Genomic DNA, 22,646 nt, shown 5'->3' with positions numbered 1-22,646 from the left:
AATATATATATATATATAATTTATGTGTGTCTTATATATATAAAGTTGATATGAATATAATATATATAACACATATATAAATTATATATGAAAGTTAAATATATGTATATGTATATATATGCATAGCTGTGTGTTTCTGTTTGTGTAACTTACAGCACTCCTAGTAAAGTACTCTTTTTAAATATGGGGATGCATCAGTAAATTGCTACCCAGAAAGTTTATAGGAAGTGGCAGCCTGGCTCCACCCACTTCAGCACTGGGGAGAAACCAACCTTAGCATTCGTTTCATCAGAGAGATAAAAAATGGTAACCTGCTGTTATTTTAATTTGCAATTTAAAAAATTCTGAGTAAAACTGAGAATCTAAATAGATTTATTGGCCATTTGTATCTACTTCTTTGTAAGTTGCTAGTTTTCTATCTTTTTTATTGATTTGTTTGAGCTTTTATTAGTTAAAATAATAGACCTTTGTGAAAAGATGAATTATTTTTTCCCTGGATTGACTCTCCTTAGACTTCTAAACATTACAGTGTGTACTTGTTATCCAGAATATTTTTAGTCACATATATCTAACATTTTCTAGTATGTGAATTTTGTGTTTATTAGGAAGATCTACTCACCCCTGATGATTAAAACAACCCATGATTTGTTTTCTAAACTGTTTATAGATTGACTGATTGATCTGGATTTTTGTTTTGTTTTGTTTTTCCATGTAATCAGTTACTTTCCTTTCTCCCCTCCTATGTCCCCTTCTAGGAGCCACACTTGAGAAATGAATTTTCTGTAGCCTGAGGATTTGATGCAACCTCAGTGACTGAAACTAGTATCTGCCCTTTCCTCTTGTTAAATGTCTAATGTCAAGATTGGCTTCTCAGGAACCTACTTGACTCTAGTAGGAGGTATAGTGTGGGCCCCTGGAAACTTTGTACCATCGATAGCATTGATTGTTTACTTTCCTCTTCATTTTCACTTCTATTAACTCAAGTGGCAAAAGACTTTTGGCTTCTCCCCTGATTGTGCAAAAGGCTGGGAGGAACTGCATGTGGGTCTGTCTACACTACACGCCTCTCTGCCCACCTCAGCTGACCCTAAGGCTTTGCAGCATCTCCTGGCTCGGCGCTTCCTACAATATCTCCTGCCATCTTTGCTTGGTGATGTGGATGATTGGAAGCTTCTGGCCACCAGCCCTTTCCACAGTTTGAGTACTGCTGATGTAGTTTTGTTATTGCTTGTTTGTTTTCATTATTCTCTTGTAGGGATGTCAGGGGGTGGGAGTGGGAAGCATTTGAGATCTGGCTTTACTCCTCTATCTTCAATAACAGGAAGTTCAAACTATTGTAATCATTTTTAAATCATCCACTGCCATGGGAAAATGGCTAAAATAAATAGCCCACAGCAATCACTTCTATAAAGAAAATTGTGTCTCTTGAGAAAAGATATTAAAATCCAAGGAAAATTTCAAAAGGAAATTTCAATGTTATTAATTGGTCCATATTAATATAGATCTATTTCTTATTCAAATCTTCTTTGGAAGTAACAATCCTTATCAAATTCTTCAAAGAATATCTAAACCTGAAAGTATATAATATTAATTCTTTTTGTTCCTGCTTTCCATCATCACAGAATCTGGCAGAAACAACATAAAAAAGTTATGAACCAAGAATACTAACATAGCAATGGAATACATGAATTTTTTTCCCATGGCAATTCCACAGCTGTTCTGTGGGGATCAAATACCTCTACCATTAAACAATACAGGAAATTAATAATTTCAAGCACAACTTAGATCACTGCTTTACTTATGAGTTTTCAGGCCCAAATCAGATTTTAAGTGTATGTGAGCAGGTTTTAAATAAATGTTAAACAATTGTATTGCTCTAGGAATAATTTGACAACATTGAATATGTAAGCATTAACATTTTTGTATTAAAGTCAGATTCAAATGATCATCATTGGAAGTCTATTCTTTACCTATTTTTCAAAATTCTTGATTTCTCTTCCCATTTAGAACAGTTGCATTTTCACAAAGCTGTTTGATGTGGTTTTTTTTTTTTTTTTTTTTTTTACAGATAGATAAATCTGAGTTCAGTGTTTAGTTTCTGACTCTATATAAGCTTCATGTTTCTCACTTATACAAGGCTGTGGAAGATGCCCTCCGGGACAAATTTTCTTCTGTACCTTCAAAGATGAAAGACTTCTACCAAAGGGATAAAATTTGCCTCAAGCTTTCAAAAATGTGATATCCAAGTTCATTACTTGTGCTCCATTCCAGTCAACTGGAGTCAAATCCACATAGCAGAATCACCACCCGAGACCTTGTCTGCCATTTAGAAAATAACTTCCCAAACCACAGGGGGTTAATTTGGAGCCCACCTCTCTATACATGGATTTGTTTTTCTCTCTGAAGAGTCCAAGCCAGTGAAAACCAGGGCAATATCTTGTCGGACACTGATATTTCTGCTGTCAAAAAAACAAGAACAAAACTAAAAATGGATAACTTTTTTGTTGTTGTTGTTCCTAAACCTCCCATACAAGGTCCCAAACTACTGCCCTGGGCCTATGGGTTCCTCGCAAGCTACCAGATTGTGCAATGTACTATCACAGAATGTCGTATTAGAGCCCTGTTCCAGTCGCGTCCAATAAGTAATCTGGCATGAAGAAAAGTTAACTGAATTAGTGGCCAGTTGGGACACTTTGTGACCTACTCTTTAGGAACCAAGTCCTCTGAACTTTTCCATTCCACTTTGCCTTCATACTTCAATAGGGACCGAATCTCCATTAACAATTGAACGGCGACAATAAGTGCCATCAGGAAAAGGAAATTCAATTTTCGTGGGGGATGACAGCCTTACCTTTTCGCGCTTAATTGGCCGTATTGTCTCCAAAAGTTAATTGGTTACTTAGTCCAGGTAGTTAGTAAAATGTTTAGCTGCGTCAAAAAGCCCAGGCTCCCACTGTTAATGGGGCATGAAATGGAATGTTTGATACTGCAAATAAAATCAGTGATATTCAAGGATGTTATGGTAGGTAATGCGTTGAAACTACCATTTAATGGGTCCTGGAAGATTAGGGTAGTGTCAGCCGGAACCGCCCGGTCTCTTTTCTGACATTGTTAGTTGCCTCTTCATTTACTTAACGGCTGTCTGCACTGATTACATAGGCATAAAACTCCCTACAAAAAAACAACAGAGACACGCTCTATTAGCAGTCCAATTAGAACTATTTGCATATTACAGTTCATTTCTGCTTAAGTGAATCCCTAATACAACTTTAGGAAAAAAAAATTCTATTGTGTCATTTGAAAGAAAGAGAAAAGAAAAGCCTTAAAGGTGATCTCTCCTTCTTTCTTTTTCTCACTTCATTTCTCTCTCTCACTCTCCCTCATTTCAAATATTATCTACTTTGAGTTGAAAGAGAGAAAATAACAACTTTGAACTTGAGACGATGTTGTTGAGATGTGTGAAGACTAGAGCATTCTTAGGATAACAGTCCTTCTGCAAACATCCAGACCAGTGTCACACGCTACTGCTATGCTTCACTTAGAGAAAGTGTCTACTTCTGAGATATGTTTATAGTTTGTTTTAGATCCACATTGCTCTGAATTTTCCAGCAAAGATGCTAATCTCTGTAACAATGTCCCAGGCAGGGCAGAGTCCTTTTTGTGGTGTCCCTTACCTGCACAATTGCAGACAGCAGAAAATGCGGTTCTGCATCTGTCTCTGTGCCACTAAAGGTTCTGACTATGTACACGTGGGGCATTGTCAACTGTGCATAGTATCAACACACATGAAATCAATTCCTTTTCACATAGGTAAGGACAGTGACAAGTAGGGTTAAAAGCAAAACTGGAGACTTCACTTTACCAGACATTTCTCTGATTTTCCAAATCTTAGTCCTTAGAAATGTCATCATTTGATGGCTACTTATAAAGGCATTAGGGACACTTTATTTGCATTATTATTAATATTAATAATGATGATCATATAGAAATCAGAGGGCTTTTTATTGAGGTTGGAAAGGAATCTTTCCCTAGCATAGGCCCTGATAAATACTACTGAATTCAAAGCAGCACACTTTCTTAAACTGATGCTTGAAGTGTGTAGAGAGTGTTTTAAGATAGCAAGCACAGTTTGCCATGAATGTTTTCAAGATGCTCCATGGACATTGACATTATTCCCCAATCTCACTGAGTCCTGTGAGTTTATGGGAGACTGGGAGATTACTGGAATAATTATTAAATGGAAAAGGAGAGTGTTGGAAAGGAGAAATGGATCAACTGCACTGAGTCTCTGGTAGATCCTGCAGGTGACAGGAAGAGGACGATGATGGCGCACTGGATACCACTGAGAGTTTCAGTGGATGGTCGGGCAGGAGGGTAGCCTGGACTGTAGGAGAATGAGGATGCCAGTATAGGATGTTTCAAAGCACCTGGCATCTCATGGCAGTCACTACTGCTGACTGCAGTGGTTATAATGATGGTTTTTCAATCTAATGTTGAACATTTTATTTGGGATGCACACATAACTCCTTCAATTAAAAACAGTACAGAAAGCACGAGATGGGAAATCACCCTCCAACACATCTGGACTGGACAGCAGAAGAGTAAGAAGCGTGAGAGGGAAAGGAGTTTGTTATTTTGGGGATTATCGTGATATCAGCAACTCATGTTGCTGGCAAGTTTCCCTTTAGACAAAGCCCTGGCTCCCACCGCGAGCTTACAGCCATGCCCTTGAATTTTCTCAGGCCTGGGACCAGTGAAAACCCTCATGTCTGATGAATGATCCTCTTGCCCTGAACGGACTCTAAGATGAGATATGCCAATGGGGATGCATTAGAGCCATTTGATTGGTCCTCGGAGTAGTTACCTAGAAGAGCCATACGACACCTTTGATGTTCACACACTTACACTGATACCCACAGAGTTTTTCCAACACTCACGTCACCCACTTTTCTTTTGTCCTGCAAACCTAGTTTCACAGGTCAGCCCACCCTCTACGATTCTCTGAATTTGCCAGTCACTGGAGGAGTTCAGGTGCTGACCATGACAAATGGGAGAGGAAAGATGGGGATTATTAAAAGTGACAAATAAACTATTCAAGAAACATGAGCAATTCCTAACTGGCCCTTTTTCTTGTTCATCTCTAAGCCACCATTTTAAGTGTAACAAGTACACAATTGTAAGGAAAAAGCAGAGAGGAAAGACAGCAACAACAATAGCAGCCACCCAACCCCAAAGCGGTGTAAACAAACCAAACAAAAAAGCCTATCAGAGGGGAAGGCAAAATCCTCGATCTGTCATTTTCAATTCTGTTCACCACGGGAGCAGAGGCGCAGTGTGAAACGCGCTGGCTCTGCCTGCCATAGGTATTGTTTGGACGCCCCGGTGGGTCCTCTATGCCCTGCCTCCTGCTTTCCTCCAGCTCTCATTAACACTACCTCCAGATGAGCACCGTCAGAGGCAGAGGCGGACACGCCGGCCCATTGCCTGGGTGCAGCGGCCCTGCCAGGGGTGGCAAGCCAGTGAGTGCCAGGGAGAGTGAGCCAGACAGCTTCGAGACACATACTTTTGCCCCTGAAAGCAGTCGTTGCACCCCGCCAGGAAAACAGCTCTCTGGAAAAGCACTGCCTGCTAGTAAAATGGACTAAATCAGTAAACAGTGATTAAGGCGCTGGCTCCGCGACTGCTGTTGCCACCTCAGACACATGGCTTCTCCTCCCTGCACACACGCACACACAGGAAAGAAAAAAAAAAAAAAGAAGGAAAGAAAAACCAAGCAATAGAGCCAAAGTTGAGATCCAGAGGGAGCTGGCTGAAGAGTTAAGGAGAGAGAACAATTCATGTTCCTTGAAGGGGAGATGCTGTTTTCCCGAGAAAATGAAATGAATATTTTTGGATATTCATTTCTCTCACTTTTTTTTTGGACTTTCAGTGAGAATTGCCTTTCTAAATAAAACATCAAGCAATGAATGTAAGCAGTAAGTTGTTCAATTCAACATCTACTCCTTATTTGTCTGATTCAGTAATGTGCAGAATATAATCTAAATCCTTCCAGTAGGTGGGATAAACAGAAGCAGCATAACGTGTCTTGATGTGTGCTGTTTAGCAGAAACATGTCACTTCATCAAATTGCTTTCCTGAGTCAGAAGAATAAATCCCACATGCACAAGTATACATACATATGTACCCTTGGATCTTCCTATGTATAGATATAGACAGATTTCATATGTAAATACAATTACATAATTTCATGCTTTTAATGTTTTTATAATGCTATAACCATAATAATTTAAAATATGTTGTAGCTTTCACCATGAAAATGTGTTTACATGGAGAGTACTCATTGTGGACTCATTGTGGCTGTGCTTTGAACCCAGCAGAGAAGGCTGACCGGAACTCTAGAATACAGGAGTATAATTCAAAAAGACTCAGACAAACTTGGAGAAATGGTCAGAAACAAGAGAATGAGGTCTTCTGAGTGCAGGGTCACACATCAGGGAAGGAAAAAAACCAATGAACTCCACAGATGGGGATCTAGGGCTGGCAGCAACTCCCAGGCTGACTGTGAATCAGAAGTATGGACTGTGTGGGCTAGCGGACTCCTGAGCAGCACCCTGTCAGGCCCCGGGACAAAACTACATGTAGCCTTAGCCCACCCAGCTCGGTCCTGGTTCAAAATGGAATGATTCAAAGTGAATGAAGAGGAGTCCAAGCAGGACATTTTAATCAAAAGGAAAAAACACCAACCCTCAAAGACTTAATGTCCACACATACATAGATGGTAGTCCTCAGAGGAACTCCCCAAATATTGTATGGATTATTTCCCAAACATCTCTAAAAACAGCAGCTAGTAAAAAACAACTCAATTTATCCTTGGAGAAACTCAAAATCCGTGCCCCTGCCAAATCTCCTGTTGAAATGTAATCCCCTCTGTTGGAGGTGGGGCCTGAGGGAAGTGTTTGGATCATGGGGGCAGGTCTCTCATGAATGGCTTAAGGAGCCAGCCTCTTGATGAGGAGTGAGTTCACGGGAGATCTGGTTGTTTAAAAGTGTGTGACATATGCCCCCTTCACTCATGCTCCTGGTCTGGCCATGTGGGATGTCTGTTCCTCGCTTCCCTCCTGCCATGGCTGTTAAGTTTCCTGAGGCTTCACCAGAAACCAAGAGGATTCCAGCACCATGCTTCCTGTATAGCCTGGAGAACTGTGAGCCAATTAAATATCTTTCCTTTATAAATTACACAGCTTCAGGTATTTCTTTATAGCAATGAAGAATGGCCTAACACAGGGGCACAGGGCATCTTCACCAAGTGTGGTCCCTGCAGCAATGCTACAGAGTGTTCATAGATGACACTGGGTGCTGGAAACTAGACATGGCAAAGGGAAGAGGAAATAAAGACTTGGGGGAAAAGCCCAAGATGAAGAAGAAAGAGAAAAGGAAGAGTGTAAGTGTAGTTATGGATATACAACCATACTCAGGGGTCACGTGGGCAGTGGGGACAGAAATTAATCCATGGACCCTCATTTTTTTTCAAATGCAGAATGTAATAATAGTAGTAGAAATGACAGTAATAAATAATATTCACAGAGGTATCAAAAACTCTGATGGCCATTAAGAATCTCCGCTTTGGTCACCTCCCACACAGGGGATTACATTTCAACAGGAGATTTCGTGGGGGCACAGATTTTGACAGTTTCTCCAACGATAAATTGAGTTGTTTTTCACTAGCTGCTGTTTTTAGGAAACTGAGCCCTGGAAAGGTGTTTAACTTATTTGCCAGCTCACTATCTCCAGGGATTTTGACTAGCATTTAATTGTTTCCCTCTTAACAACGAATGTATTAAGAAAATTCTGTAAACGTAGGCAAATCACTAACCCATTATAAGGTTTATTATTTCTCAGTCTAAATTGTGTTTGCATTTGTTATGGGAGTGGTGGTAAGAGCATTCAAAATTATTGAAGTGTCTTGAGGTGGTGATTCTGGTTAATGTTTGACAGTGGTCATCGTGATGAGCCTTTGTGTGAGTGTGTCTGGGCAGGACTGGCTACTTAATTTGCAGGGCCCAGTGAAAAATTAAAATGTGGGACTTCGACAAGGACCCAGACACCCCCTACCCAAGGGCTGAACTCTAACACAGGGAGAGCAGCCCACTCCCTACAGATTGCAACCTCCCTTTCAGGATGTGCTAGGTATCTGAATTGGCACCTGCCAATTTGCATTCTGAGTGCACCCTAATGCTGCAGGAATGAGGCAGGGCTGGTATCCACCTTGCCCTGCCCCAAGACAGCACAGCACACATACCTATCCTGACCGTCCCCAAGCCTGCACCTAGGACTTGCAGGTGGCCAAGAACTATACTGAACAGAAACTTGCTCTGGTTGTGCCTCATATAGAACAGTAACCTTTCTAGGGAATTTTAAAAAGTATTTTCAAATTCAATTAAGATAAACCTTGCAAGATTGTCCCAAACAAATGCTATTTTGAAAATTATCCCCCTTATGAGGCCATGAACAATTTCCAACAACACAGAATAATTCATGGCTGCCCTTTTAATTTTTATTTGTTTATTTATTGTTTTTTAGAAATGTGGTCTCACTATGTTGACCAACCTGGAATGCTGTGGCTATTTACAGACACAATCATAGAACTTACAGCCTCAAAAATCTTGTGCTCAGTGGATCATCCTGCCTCAGCCTCCCTAGTAGCTGGTGCTACTGTGCCAAGCTAATTCATGGCTCTCTTTTTTATCCAAATCTGGGAACCAGTTTATAGTCTCATCACTGAGAGTCGTCACTTTCCCTTACATCCAATTATAGTATGTAGCTAGCTATCTGTTATTTTATATATTATATAGTATTAGATATATATAAATAAGCATGTATATGTGTATTTTTTTTCAGTTAGAGAAGTGAGTTTATGTCAATGCTAAGTTCTAATTTCCAACAAACTCCCTTTCAAGGAAGTGGCATTTTCATTAGCCTTTATATTCACAGACAAACCCAATACACAGCTATTATTAGGGAAAATGTGTCCCATTATGAATCTGTTTGAGAAATGACAAATAATATTGAAACTATCCTAATGTGGTAATTTGATGGAATAAAATAGTTTCAAACACCTCTTTACTCCCATTTAATTTCACCTTTACTCATGGGTAATCACTGATGTAACTCATTGTTCATAAGCTTTTCTAAAAATTGAGGAATCATTTTGCTATGAGACGTTCATTTGGAGATCTAGAAAGTCATCTCAAATTTAGAGGAGACTTCTTTCATACATATCTTTACACTAATTTTGTTTACAGCCAAGAAGGATCGTGTCAGTCCTGCAACTTGTCAGTGGAATTAAATTTCAGGTAACTCTTGCTTTTTTGCCAGCCTTCTTCCTCTCTCATCAGATGGGTATGATCAGAAGTGGGGGTTGGGGCAGTACTTTAAACTCTGCCATATAATCTGCACGGGTCCCCAACCCTAGTAAAAGTGTGGTGTTGGCTATATAGACATAGTTTTAAACAAGGTTTCTTCCAATGATTGCTACCTTAATCCCCTTCTATATAAGCATTGGAGCTGCCGCTGCTCTTCAACCCCAGGAAAGTACTTGCGGTGTTAAGAGAGTCAAAGTCACCTATACAGAATTTAAAGGACACCAAGTCACTTACTAAGCTTTCTAATTCCCCTTTCACCATCTCCCTCAAGTATCAGACATCAGTCAGGAGAACTGTGATTATCCCTTCCCTAAACTCCTCCTTACCCTAAAAATCAATCTTACACATCTGCCAAGGTGATGGCCATTTAAATTAGCCTATCTGATCACCAAAATTAAACCAATCTAGGCTCCTCCTTTACATTAAGAAGTCAGCTTCAAAAAAAAAATGCCTGATCACTGTCAATGTCATTAAGTAGGCAGCATGTTATAGTGGGAAGGGCATGGACATTAAAATGATTCAAATTTTGATTCTGCTTTTATTAGCTTTGTGAACTCAGAGAGGTAGCTTGATCTCCCGGAGCCTGAGTCTTTAACCAAATGTAGACCTCAGAGTCTTTAACCAAATGTAGTCTTTAACCAAACGTCACCATAAATGGGACAACCTATGGGTCCCTGCCTTGTGGATAGCAAGGTTACCTATAAGTTTTATTATTACTTATTGATATATATGTAACATAAAATGAAATAATCTTTTCATTTTTTTGTGTGCAATCAAGGTCTTAAGGAACTGCGGAAGAAGGCATATATATATATATATATACACACAAACACACACACACGTGTATATACATATATAAACATACGTACACATAATATATATGTGTATATATAAGCTTTCTATATATATATATCTATATACATATAAGTTTTCTCTCTCTCTCTCTCTGTCTCTCTCTCTCTATATATATATATATATCTCCAGGCTGGCATTTAGTAGTGTGATCTCGGCTCACTGCAACCTGCACCTCCAGGGTTCAAGTGATTCTCCTGCCTTAGCCTCCCTAGTAACTGGGATTACAGGTGCCCACCACCACACCTGGCTAATTTTTGTATTTTTAATAGAGATGGAGTTTCACCATGTTGGCCAGGCTGGTCTCGAACTCCTGACCTCAAGTGATCCTCCCACTTTGGCCTCCAAAGTGCTGGGATTACAGGCATGAGCCACCAAGCCCGGCCAAACATATTATATTTTCATAACTTTAATGTAGAAAAGGCGATTCACAGAAAGAGAAAGGTAAGTTCCAAGTGTGCCTCCCTGTTTAAGTTGTGGATACTTGGGATGTAATCCAAAGGGCTCTTACAGCCTGGGGAAGACAGACAGTAAATGAACATGGAAATAGGAAAGAAAAATTGGCTTACCTTTCAATTGGTCTAACGCTAGTTTCATTCACACTCCCACGTTCTCCCACTACACAGGTTGCTATAGGGGGATACATTGTTCCTGAATGTGCAAAGTTAGTGCTTCTTTGCACATACTGAATTAGCTCCAAAAGGGAAAAGTGACCAGAAATGATTTCATTTTCTCTATGCATCTCTGTTAATAAGAAGGTGTAATTCCTTAGAGAAAACACTGGGGAAAGAGAGCTCTGCTGGTGTGTTTGTGGCCCCCAATCAGGATAACAATTGGAAACCGAAGCAGATAGTCTTAGAGTGAAATGCAAATCAAACACATGAATATACCCACATATATTCCCATACTATTTTCATCATTGATTAACCAGCCACATGACCTTTTCAGTAAGAGAAATAATTGGCAGTTTTAACAGACGAAAAATTGATCCCATTACTCAGGATAGAATTTTCCACCTTTTTCAAAAGAGATGCTTATTAAAGAGGTCAGGTTTTTTTCCCCCTCAGGATCATGCATATGTAAGTAAGCATAGCTATTATGTGCCATCTATGAGAATGGACGGGTGAGCCATAAACACAAACATTCACATACAGCCAGGTCTCCAGCGTTCCTGTTCACCAATTACAGTAATGCTGATGACATATCTAGTTTAATGCATATGGCATTAAAGTAGTCCCCCCTCTTCTAGGAAAATCTAATTACACCAAACCCAAGCACTCAATCAAACCTGTTATTCTGTGGCTAAACAGCCTGGCGTTAATGCAATTTGAGGAGATACAGGCCGTGACTAGAGACGTCATGTATTAACAATATCTAATGGGAGCTCCTGTAGGTAAATGAATATGCTAACAAGCAAGATCACTGCTAAATCTAATATCTTTAAGCTGTTTAATTCCAAACAGTCCCTTAATAAATCAATTGACCGGGAGAGCTGATGCCCCTATCAATTATTCAAGAGGGCAAATAAATATTTCAGACGATTTGATAGGCAGGCTGGTGCTGGTCTTATAGAAAGCTTTGCATTTCATTAGCCTCTTGCTAAAAGTTTTATAATGAGCAGAACACAGGTGGCATCCCCACTGCAGAAATGGAAAAGGGGGAAATAAGCGATTGGAGATCAAGACTTCCTTCATCTCTGCATTATTCCATTATCCAAACTTTTCTTTTGTAATGTGAAAATTGGAGTCAAGTCCCCCAAAGAATTATCATTCTCTGCAATCACAAAGGAAATTAAAATGATCAAAAGTATGTCATATTGCAAGAGTCTTAATTGTAATTCCTATTGGAAATGCAATTATCAGATACCAATATCATGAATATAATTTATGCGGTTCCACATCCAAATAGCCCTTCACCAAATATTTAATATTATCAATTCCATTTTCCAGAAGAAAAAACTGAGTTCCCCTAGTCATTTAGAAAGTGCTCACTAGGTCACCTGTGTTTGAAAGCAGGCACTTTTTTTATTCTTTAGAGACCATTATTCATATTGAAAGCATACATTCCTGTTTAACATGATATCTGTCTTATGAATAATCCACATTTAGGTTGTGATCCTTTGTACCAAGAAATAAAAGAAACGGAAAAGCATGAAAGTGATTGACATCATTTTTCTTAATGTGCATGTGAATGTTTGTGTGTTTCACATGGACTTAGTAGAGAAAGATTCAAGAGGCAAAAATGAACGCAACTAAGTCACTTATCCCGGGAATCGTGGACACAAACAGTAACACTATTGCTTCTTGTTTCATACTGTGGAGGTGGTGACCCACAGGCTATTGGAAATGCTTGAAAACTACTGATGCCTTCAATAAGCATTTCCATATTATCTGTGAAAGAAAAGTATTTGTCTATTTTTTTCTTAAGCTCAGGTATTGATCAAACAACCACTTTATCAAATTTTGAGATTGCAGGCTGTGAAACAAAAACAGCGTGTCATCTCTTAACAGCATTTTACAGTTTACAAATGTAAAATCTCTCTTAAATTACTGTAAGCATTATTGTTATGAGAAGTACCGTAGAAGATAAAAATAATTTAGATTATCTGAAAAATAAAACTTAATTTTCAGAATGTTTGAATGTAAAAGCAGTTGACAACTATTTTTCTAAATAAAAAGATCCATATAAAAATCAGTGAATGAGTATTTTCTGTGCAGGCAGTTATACTCTACAAAATACTCAATGAGCTATGAAAAAGAGGTCTCAGCTACAGAAAATCATAATTTAAATGTTAGGTTTGTTCATTTTCAGCTTCATGAATCAATAGAGTAAATCCTTTATATTATTCTGTATGTAAAATCTGGTCATGTTTAAAATCAGATTTTGGGACTTCTACTCATCAGAAGTACCTTTTCATGGAGCCATTTAATTAAGTGTTTATTTCTTTAATAGTCTCAACCCCACAGAAACCATCAAGAATTTAAACAAGATGACAGATGTAACATATCTGGCAATGTCCTCCTCGTCCCCTGCCTCAAATACCTAGTGATTACAGCAATTTATTGTTAAACTTATTTTACCTGAGAAAAAAGAAATTCATATTGAATCAGAAATTTAAAATATATACCTTAAAGATGGAAGGCATGTTAAATTGGACTTAAGAAGGGGACAAGAGCCAGAAATCTATCAGGAGAGAACTTTTATGGAAGGTAGAATTATGTCCTGGGGTGCTCCAAAGAGAGATAGCAGAAAGGGTACTCTATGGGATGACACTTCGGATGCCATATCTGGAGGGTCTAGGCCACCAAGCCCTTTACAACTCTAAACTTTCTGAAGGGATCAGGAAACAGTACGGTAACACCCAGGCTGGAAATAAAGCTTTCATACTTAAAAGGTATTTTCTCTTCATCACTGAGGAAGGCCTCTGTAATTAGATGCATAAACTAGTGCATATGAACAAGAAACACACACAATTGGACAAAGACAAGAAAGATACCTATCTCCACAACTTTGGGAAACAGAGCAAACAGATCAATATATTAAAATAAGCACAGTTGGCCAGGTGCAGTGGCTCACGCCTGTAATCCCAGCACTTTGGGAGGCTGAGGCCAGTTGATCACCTGAGGTCAGGCATGTGAGACCAGCCGGGGCAACATGGTGAAACCCTGTCTCTACTAAAATGCAAAAATAACCCGGGGCGTGGTGGCGCACGCCTGTAGTCCCAGCTACTCAGGAGGCTGAGGCAGGAGAATTGCTTGAACTGAGGAGGCGGAGGTTTCAGTGACCCGAGATCACACCACTGCACTCCAGCCTGGGCGACTGAGAGAGACTCTGTCTCATAAATAAATACATAAATAAATACCACAGTTAAAACCCTAAAAGAGATGTAAGAAGCTAGGCAGTCCACTACAAAGGCAATTAAAGAGTTCAGAAATAAAATTATGATTATAAAAATAGTATTGATTATAATACTGATAAAAATAGTAATAAAATTTCAATCCCGTGAATGAATAGTGCAGGAAGCACAACTGAAGAATGCATTTAGTGAGCTGGAAGACTATCTAACATTTGTAGACTCCTGTCTGAATATTCAACGAGAAATTTATCTTACATTCATTCCTGCCAAAGACCGGCTAAAGACAGAAAATATTTCAGCGTGGTGGATGGAGGCACAAATTAGTCATCTCTCCTCCCCTCTAAGAACCCAAAGTTTTATCTTCAGATTAAAGTAAATCATCAAACCACAACTACCAGGGCAATAAAATCTTAATTTTTCAAAGCAATGTCTTCTTTGAGTTGAGATTTAACATTATATTCTCAGCCTTCATAGGAAGGTATTACAAGACCTTTCGAAGAATGTTCTGTATTTTCAGAAGGTCAGAGTTGAAGACATTGCCCATCATATCACTTAATGTCCCATAGATGAAGATCTATATGACACTGTTTGTGCTAGAAGTTTAGTACCAGAAAAATTATTTTTTCCCAGGAGATTTCCTTTATATGATATAAAATCTATATTTCAATGTGTATCCCTTTTGCTTTGTTTGCCAGGAAGCCCCTAGCTAAATATATTAATTAATTAAATGATTCCAGATATGTGAAACATATATTTGTATATTCTTTATGCTGTTTTAAACCTGTCTTATTTTTTACATTTGACCTTAGGCTTTTATAGAAATAGGCAATTAAAATAAATAAAATTGACAGTTTAAACTGCCTAAAGTGTTTTATAAGCATCTGAGTTTATGTAATAAATAAATAATAAAACATAAATTGAGTAGGGTCCCACAGTTCATCTAGGAGAATGGCCTCTAAATAATGTTTGGAAACCTAAAGCACATTAGATTGAGTTCTGGCTTACTAAAATCAAAACAACAGCTTCTAAACTCCAATTACCATCAAAACTAGCCAAATCTTACCTTCAAACTTAACAACTCTTGAAGACTTTTCCCTCTTTCCTCTAACACATACAACACTTTAACTTCCTTCTCATCTAAAGTAGATGACATCATATCCTCCTTCTCAGAACAGTAAGCTTCACAAATAAATGTTATCTTTGCCCCACTGCCAATCCTGCAAATCCACATACATCTTCCATCCCTAGTCTTTCAAGAATTGAGTTTGAAAGAATGGGGATCTGGCAGGGGATGTGGAATTAAATTGAATTTTTATTTTATTGTATTTTATACTAGTGATGCATAACAGAAAAGAGAACTTGAACAACACTATAAACAAATTAGATTTAACAGACAAATATAGAACACTCTACCCAACAAGAGCAGAATACATATTTTTCTCAAGTACATATGGAATAGTCCCCAGTGTAGAGCATATCTTAGGCTACAAAACAAGTGTTAATCAATTTTAAAAGACTGAAATTATACAACATTTTTTTAATCACTATGGAATGAAGCTAAAAATAACAGAAGGAGAACTGGAAAATTCACACATATGTGATGAGAGAGAGCATTTCCCCATGATAACGGGAAGAACAAGGGATGGATAAGGATGAAAACGTAGGTAGATTTACATGATCGGCAGTAGGGAAGAGGACAGTTATTGAAAGTGAAGTATAGAAGTCTCCAGCTATTGTTGTAGAACTATTTCTCCTTACAGTTCTACCAATGTTTGCCTGATAGATGTTGGGGCTCTGTTATTTGGTGCATATATATTTACAATTGGTGTCTTCATATTACCTTATCATTTTATCAGTATATGATTTTCTTCTTTGTCTCTTAGAATAGTTTCTGACTTAAAATCTATTTTATCTGATAGTATCGCCCCCTCGGCTCTCCTCTGGTTACTATTTATGTGAAGTGTGTTTTTTCATTCTTCCAATTTTATCCTATTTATCCCTTTAGGTCTAAAGTGAGTATTTTGTAGGCAGCATAGAGTTGGATAACGGTTTGTTTAATTGTGTTGTTATCCATTTTACCTATCTCTGCCTTTTGATTGGATAGTTTAACCCATTTATATTTAAGGTAATTCCTAATAATGGAAGATTTTTGCCTTTTCGTTATTTGCCATAATTTCCTCCATTACTGGCTTATTTTGTGTTCCGTTGAAATTTTGTGTGTGTAATGACATGTTTTGCTTCTCTTCTCATTTTCTTTTGCATATAGACTATAGATATTTCATTTGCAGTTACCCTGGGGATTATATATAACATCTTAAAATTATTACACTCTCATTTCAACTAATGCCAAATTAACTATTATTGCAAGTAGTAACTCTACAACTTTACTCTTTCTGCTCTCTTTTATGTTTCTGATGTCACAAAGTATATCTTTATGCATTATGTGACCAATAACATTGATTTATAATAATTAACATATTTGTCTTTTAAATCTTATAGTAAATACAAAGTACAATTACAAATGAAAATTACTATAACAGTGGCTCCTTTTTCTGTTTCTCCACACGTTATATTTACATTTATTGGAGATCACTCTATGTTCATGAAGCTTTGAGTTACTGTGTAGCTTTTTAAAATTTCAACCTTAAAGACTCCCTTTGGCATTTCTTGTAGGGCAGGTCTAGTAGCAGTAAACTCTCACAGATTTAGCATATTATGGAATATCTTGATTTCTCCCCAAATCTTGAAGGACAGATTTTCTGGATCTGGTATGTGGAGGAGTCACATCTCTCTTGCTGCTTTCAAGATTCTTTGTCTTTTACAAGTTTGATTATAATGTATCTCTATGTGGGCTTATGAAGTTTAGCTACTTGGAGTTTATTGAAATCCTTAGATTTGTAGATTCATTAATTTTATAAAGTTTGAGAAATATTCAGCCATTATTTCTTCAAATAATCTTTTTTTTTGTTCTTTTATTTCTCTCTTCCCCTTCTCAGAATCCCAAAATGCACATGTTGATCAGCTTGTGGGTGTCTTACAAGTCCATTAAGTTCTGTTTACTTTTCTTGATTTCTTTGTCTTTCTGCTCCTAAGACACAATAATTTTAGTTTTTCTCTTTTCAGACTCACAAGTTCTTTCTCTTCCTGTTCAAATCTGCTATTGTACTTCTGTAGTAAATTTTTAAATTTCAACTATTGAAATGTTCAGCTCCAGATTTTTTGTTTCTTTAAAACAATATGTTCTATCTTTTTGTTGACATTCTCATTTTGTTCATATTCCCTTTTTTAAATTTATTTTATTACCCTTGCCCATGCCTTCCTTTAACTCTTTGAACATATTGTAGACAATTGTTTTAAACATTTGTCTAGTAATTTCAGTGTCTGGACTTCCTAGAAGATGATTTCTGTCAGTTAATTTTGCTTCTTGGAATGGGCCAAGTTTTTGTATTTCTTTGTATATCTTATGAATTTTGTTGTTGAAAATTAGAAATTTGATTATTATACTGTGGTAACTCTATGACAAAATCTCCTTCTCCTCAGGATTTTCCCTGCTTTGTTTATTTGTTTTTAATGGTTGAAAGCTATAATGGTCTATTTGTTTTGAGAATTTTCCAAATTATTTTTGCAAAGGGTATTCCTTGTGGCATGTGATGATGGAAGTCTCTGCTCTTTTGGCTTGTGTTCAGCTTATATTTTGATAAAATTTTCTTCAATTTCAGGAGCTTTCCCAGTCTTTGCAAACTGGTTCTGTTCTGGAAGAGCCAACACTTTAACAAAGGCCTATTCTGAGCCTAGACATCAGCCTGAGGTGAAAGAGTAAGGTTTTCACAGGATTTTTTTGAGCATGCATCTACCTGAACAGGTCCTTGGCCTTCTAAACGTCCCTGTAAATGTGGCTGCTTCTGAATGTCCTAATTTTCCAAAGAGCCTCAGCCTGGTTTCTTCTCCAGAGTTTAGTTGGTCTATTGTATGTTCTACCTATAAACTCTTGGCCCAGGTGGCTGCAGGTCTGTAGTCACCTTGCACATTTTATGAGCAGTATCTGCCACTTTTCCACCTGAGTTGTGAATTAGACAAAACAAAGATGAGCACTTTGTGTCAATCCTTCGTGCATTTACCAGGCAGGTTAAAAGAGATGGGCACAGTAATTTTCAGATAAGGTCTGCTCTGCTTCCTCTAATTGAAGGGAAGGAACTGGAAACCAGGCTGCTGCTATCTCAAACTGAAGACCACTGTCATGCCCGGGAGAGGCAGGAGGAGGGTGATTTCGAATGCCACAAAATTTTTCTATTCTTTTAAGATGGGTTTTTCTTGATTGAGTGTTCACTTATTTGCTATAAACATTTTATTGTTTTCCAGAGCTCTGAAAATGTTGGTTTAGTTTCCGCATTTTTTAAAAATAATTCTTTTTGAAGAATAAAAGTTTGGCAAGCCTTAGTCTACCATTTTGTTCTTTATATGCATTTTCAGATTGCCAGATTGCTGAAAATCTTAGAAATATTGGTGGAATAGCCAACACATTAAATCAAATAAAACAAAAACAAGTTATAATAGTTTGAAAGGGTGTTCAGATTTGAAAATGAAATCAATAGATTTTACTCAGGCTCAGTCTAAGCAATTTGAGACTGACAGGCTTTCCTGTTGATGTGCCTCCACGTTTTTATTAAAGGGAATGTCTATATTTCTGTAATAAAAGATATTAGGGATAAAACAGACATGAGCAACTAAGGGTACATGAAGTTGATGGGAAGGTAAAGGCTTACTCATTTTTGTTTTTTAAATGATTTCTAAGACTGTATGCAGCAACTTTTGCTTAGAGATTGTTTTCAGTAGATATTAGAGGCAGATTATGTGAAAGATAGCTGAAAGTTATCCATTTCAGGAAGTTAGATTTATCTTCAGAAAAGACAAGGTGAACTTAATGCCAGCTGATGTCACAGCAGAAGTTAGAGGTAATATCAGTATCCACTAATGGTGCTGGTTATCAACATGTCATGGCAATAAGAGAAAGTTCCTAGTACATCTAAATACACTACAATAAACAGACAGCTGTTTGATGCCATAGCCCAATCTGAGAGTCTTTAAATTATGCTGCAGATCCAGTGCTCAATCTCTCCCCACTTCCTCCTGGAATATTTCTGTCTCTTTTTTCTCTCTCTCTGACCTATGACTGGCTAGTTTATATTTAATAGAAGCCCACCTGCAGCTTTATCCCATTGACCTTTACAGGCCTTCATGTTTAGGATGGTGTTCATCTGCCTTTCCCTTGAGTCTTCTCCAAGGCTGAGGGTAAATATGATATATTCCATGGTGGGCAGATGTAAAGGAGGAATAAAATAATCTGTAACAAATGCTTAACACAGATCTGATACATAATTAATAGTGATTGTTACTAATGTTCTCCTTCCTCTTTTCTAATGTTCTAGTTTATCTCTCTTCCTACCAAAAACTGGTACTCAGAGCTGTACAAGATATTTCCAGTTTTGCCTAATCACTTTGTAGTCCAGTGGGAGTATTTCAGATATAATCCTTTGTTGAGTCCTGAAAAAATGGTACCATTTGTATAATTTCATCTGTCTGAAGACTTAAATTTTTACTTTTAATTTAACTCATAAGGCATTTTTCTCTTTTACCTATAGAAAAAATGATAGATAGACATATAGATATACTTACTATTGCTAAACCATATTTTTCCCAACCTATTTTTCAGAATTTGGATTTCAAAAATCCAACTACAAGGCCTTACACTTTGAAATTTCCTCTTCTTAGACTTCATTCATTTTGGATATCAATTCAGCTATTGAATTTTTAATATCATTTAACTTCATGCATCGGCAAACTCAATGTGTTCTTTATCTTCCTATGTTATCGATAAAAATATTAACAGAGATAACTGTGTCTAGAGAGTCCTGTGGCATGCCAAAAATACTCCCCCAGCTAGAATCTGCCATTTAACATGTATTTACACAACATCGTGACATGGGAACAAAAGCTACATTTGAGACATTGTATAGTTCAGTTTACAAACATTAACTCTTTCAAGCATTACAGAGATCTTGAAAATTGAATATCATCATCCCTATTTGTCTCCTAAGGAAACTGAGTCACAGAGAGGTCCACAAATGTTCCCATGATCACTCAGATATCTCCCTTTTCTCTAACCCAGTGGGATTTGTTGCTAGGACCAAAATATCACTAAGCATCACATGATAAATAAAACAACCAAATGAGGATGCCCTTAAGAGAATCACTTTCCATTTCTTACTCTCCACATGTTCAGTCTGGCATCATATTTTGAAAATTATAAAAAATTCAAAGCAGTTTAATAGAATATTCTAACATCAAAGTATAAATAATATCCTCATCTAATTAGAAGTACCTATTGCCATGTGTTCAGTTTTTCACCATTTACCAAGATGACTTTCTGAGATTGTGTGATTTGCACAGTGGGTTTTGGAAACACCATCAAAGTTATTGGGTTTCCTCATTGATACATCAATGTAGGTGCATCGGAAGCATACCACACTCCATTCAACTTAAAACCCAATGACAATTTTACACATAATAGGGTGAGAGGTCTCATACAGATATTATTTTTATCAATATTTAGTATTTTAGAAATAATTTCTAAATGATATTTGAGGGAGTCCGGGAAGGAGATGTGAGAAATTTAATATATTTTAACTCATGTCTTAGTTCAGACATTGAGCCTCTTAGGAGATGAGTTAGTTATTTATCTACACATGCTTTTCTTCTCTTTTCATTAATTTAATTTAATTCCATTTATATGTAACCTGAGAGTACCATTCCCCTGCAGTATGCCCACTCCATTTGTACACTGAATTGAAGTCATCATGCCTGCTTTAATGGCTGTGAAGGACTTAGAAATTAATAGCTCTCTCTTGAATTAGTAAATTATATTTTTCCAAAGAGAGAAAAGTGCCTCATAAAAATAAGTGACTAGAGTCACTTTTATTTTATTTTTATAACAAGTCTTTTTATGCTGTCGTTTTAAACCCCCTTTAACAATAACATCTTACATTTATATCATACTTTATACTTTTCAAAGCACTAGCATGCACATTATCCTATTTTTATTTCCACAACAACCTTCAGACTGAAGTAGAGAAGACGTCAGAGAAGGCCCTTGCTATAAACTGAAGAAGCAACACATTAAATGACTATTCATAAGTGAGTTCATGGGCCAACGCTAGGCCTCCTGGCTGCTAGTACCGGAATACTCAGTGTTACTCTAGGCAGATAGAAAAAGGGCTAATGGAGAAAGAGTTTCTTTTGCTTTTTACCAGATAATTTATTTTTTATTCATGCCAGAATCTACAAGTCTACAAAGTCTAAGTTTCCCCAAATATATGATTATTCAATTCACCCACAAGTCTTTTTTCCATTTTTTCAAAAATACAATAATATTATTATTAGCTATAGTCACCATGTTGCACAATAGCTCTCTTGAACTTATTCCTTCTGTGTAATGAAAAAGTTGTATCTTTTGATTAATATCTCTTTAACAAGAAAGACTTTCTTGCTGGGATGTTTATACACTGATTAAAAATAACAATAATATGCTGCCAAATGTAGAGGGTTCAGAATAATAAAATAAGAATTGGAGGTAAATTTGTAAAAACATTTTTGGCTGAACTGAAGAAAATAATGTATACTTCACATTTTAAAATCTTTGTATGCATGCACACATACAAATATATATATATTTCTTAATAGTATGAATAATGAAACAATCTTCCAATTTGAATAAGTAAGTCTAATTCAAAAAGTTAATTTTTTCAGACTCTATGTTTTTAATTTTTTAGTTTTATTAGAAAAAGAGCAGAAAACCCTAATCTGTCTTATTGTTATCAGAAAACTTTTTAAAAATGTATCCCTCCATTTTCAATAAATACTATATTTGCTGATTATGTTGAACACCATATGCCATATATAGTTCTTAACATATATATGCTACTTCAAAATAGCATACTTCATTTATATAGAGAGTTCACAAAATCTCACATACACATAAATGAACTCCCAGTGATACTGCTGAGTTCTGTCATACAGAAACATATTTTGATGTTTTTGAGCACTTATTATGTCCCAGACACCAACCTAAGTAATCGGGTTAAAAGGACAAATAGTACACAGACTGCCCAGTCTCTGACCTTGGGAGGGAAACAATTTAACCACTAACAAAAACATAATATAGTATAAGGCAATATATAAAATGCAGTGTGAGTACAAATAAGAAAATTATCAATTCCTCCTGAATGATTTGGAAGACGTTGCAGAGGAGGGACTATTGAGTTTGAACTTGAGTAGGAGACTAACTGGAAGCTCTGGGAGCAGGCAATGTAGGTGTTTGAAAGAGCTGAGCAAAGGCAGAGATGCTGGAGCCCAAAAAGGAGGGTGAGAGAGGACTTGGGGTTGGTGTGTTCTTGAGCTGGGGAATAATGGATCTGAAAGAAGAGTCGAGAAAATGCTAGGGTTTTGCAATGTTTGTTAGA

At 37.1% G+C, this 22,646-nt stretch overlaps 2 long non-coding RNA genes across 4 annotated transcripts in view; one reads left to right on the top strand and one right to left on the bottom strand.

Moving 5' to 3' along the window:
- LINC00924 (long intergenic non-protein coding RNA 924) overlaps positions 1–22,646 on the bottom strand; it is a 74,755-nt gene that overhangs the window by 6,996 nt on the left and 45,113 nt on the right. The window contains exons 4-5 of one of the 2 annotated variants that reach the window (NR_027132.1): positions 2,852–3,171; positions 2,373–2,459 (exon numbers count right to left, since the gene is read on the bottom strand). This is a non-coding gene — a long non-coding RNA (long intergenic non-protein coding RNA 924). The remainder of the gene's footprint in view (positions 1–2,372; positions 2,460–2,851; positions 3,172–22,646) is intronic. The other variant, NR_027133.1, reaches the window with a different exon arrangement.
- The window catches only part of LOC105370993 (uncharacterized), a 30,197-nt gene continuing 14,619 nt past the window's right edge, over positions 7,069–22,646 (top strand). Inside the window, exons 1-2 of one of the 2 annotated variants that reach the window (NR_188325.1) lie at positions 7,069–7,202; positions 9,303–9,353. This is a non-coding gene — a long non-coding RNA (uncharacterized LOC105370993). The remainder of the gene's footprint in view (positions 7,203–9,302; positions 9,354–22,646) is intronic. The other variant, NR_188326.1, reaches the window with a different exon arrangement.

The sequence above is a fragment of the Homo sapiens genome, chromosome 15 (genome assembly GCF_000001405.40).
Source record: "Homo sapiens chromosome 15, GRCh38.p14 Primary Assembly".
In the NCBI taxonomy this organism is placed as follows: Eukaryota; Metazoa; Chordata; class Mammalia; order Primates; family Hominidae; genus Homo; species Homo sapiens.
This window is presented reverse-complemented; position numbering and strand designations above follow the sequence as displayed.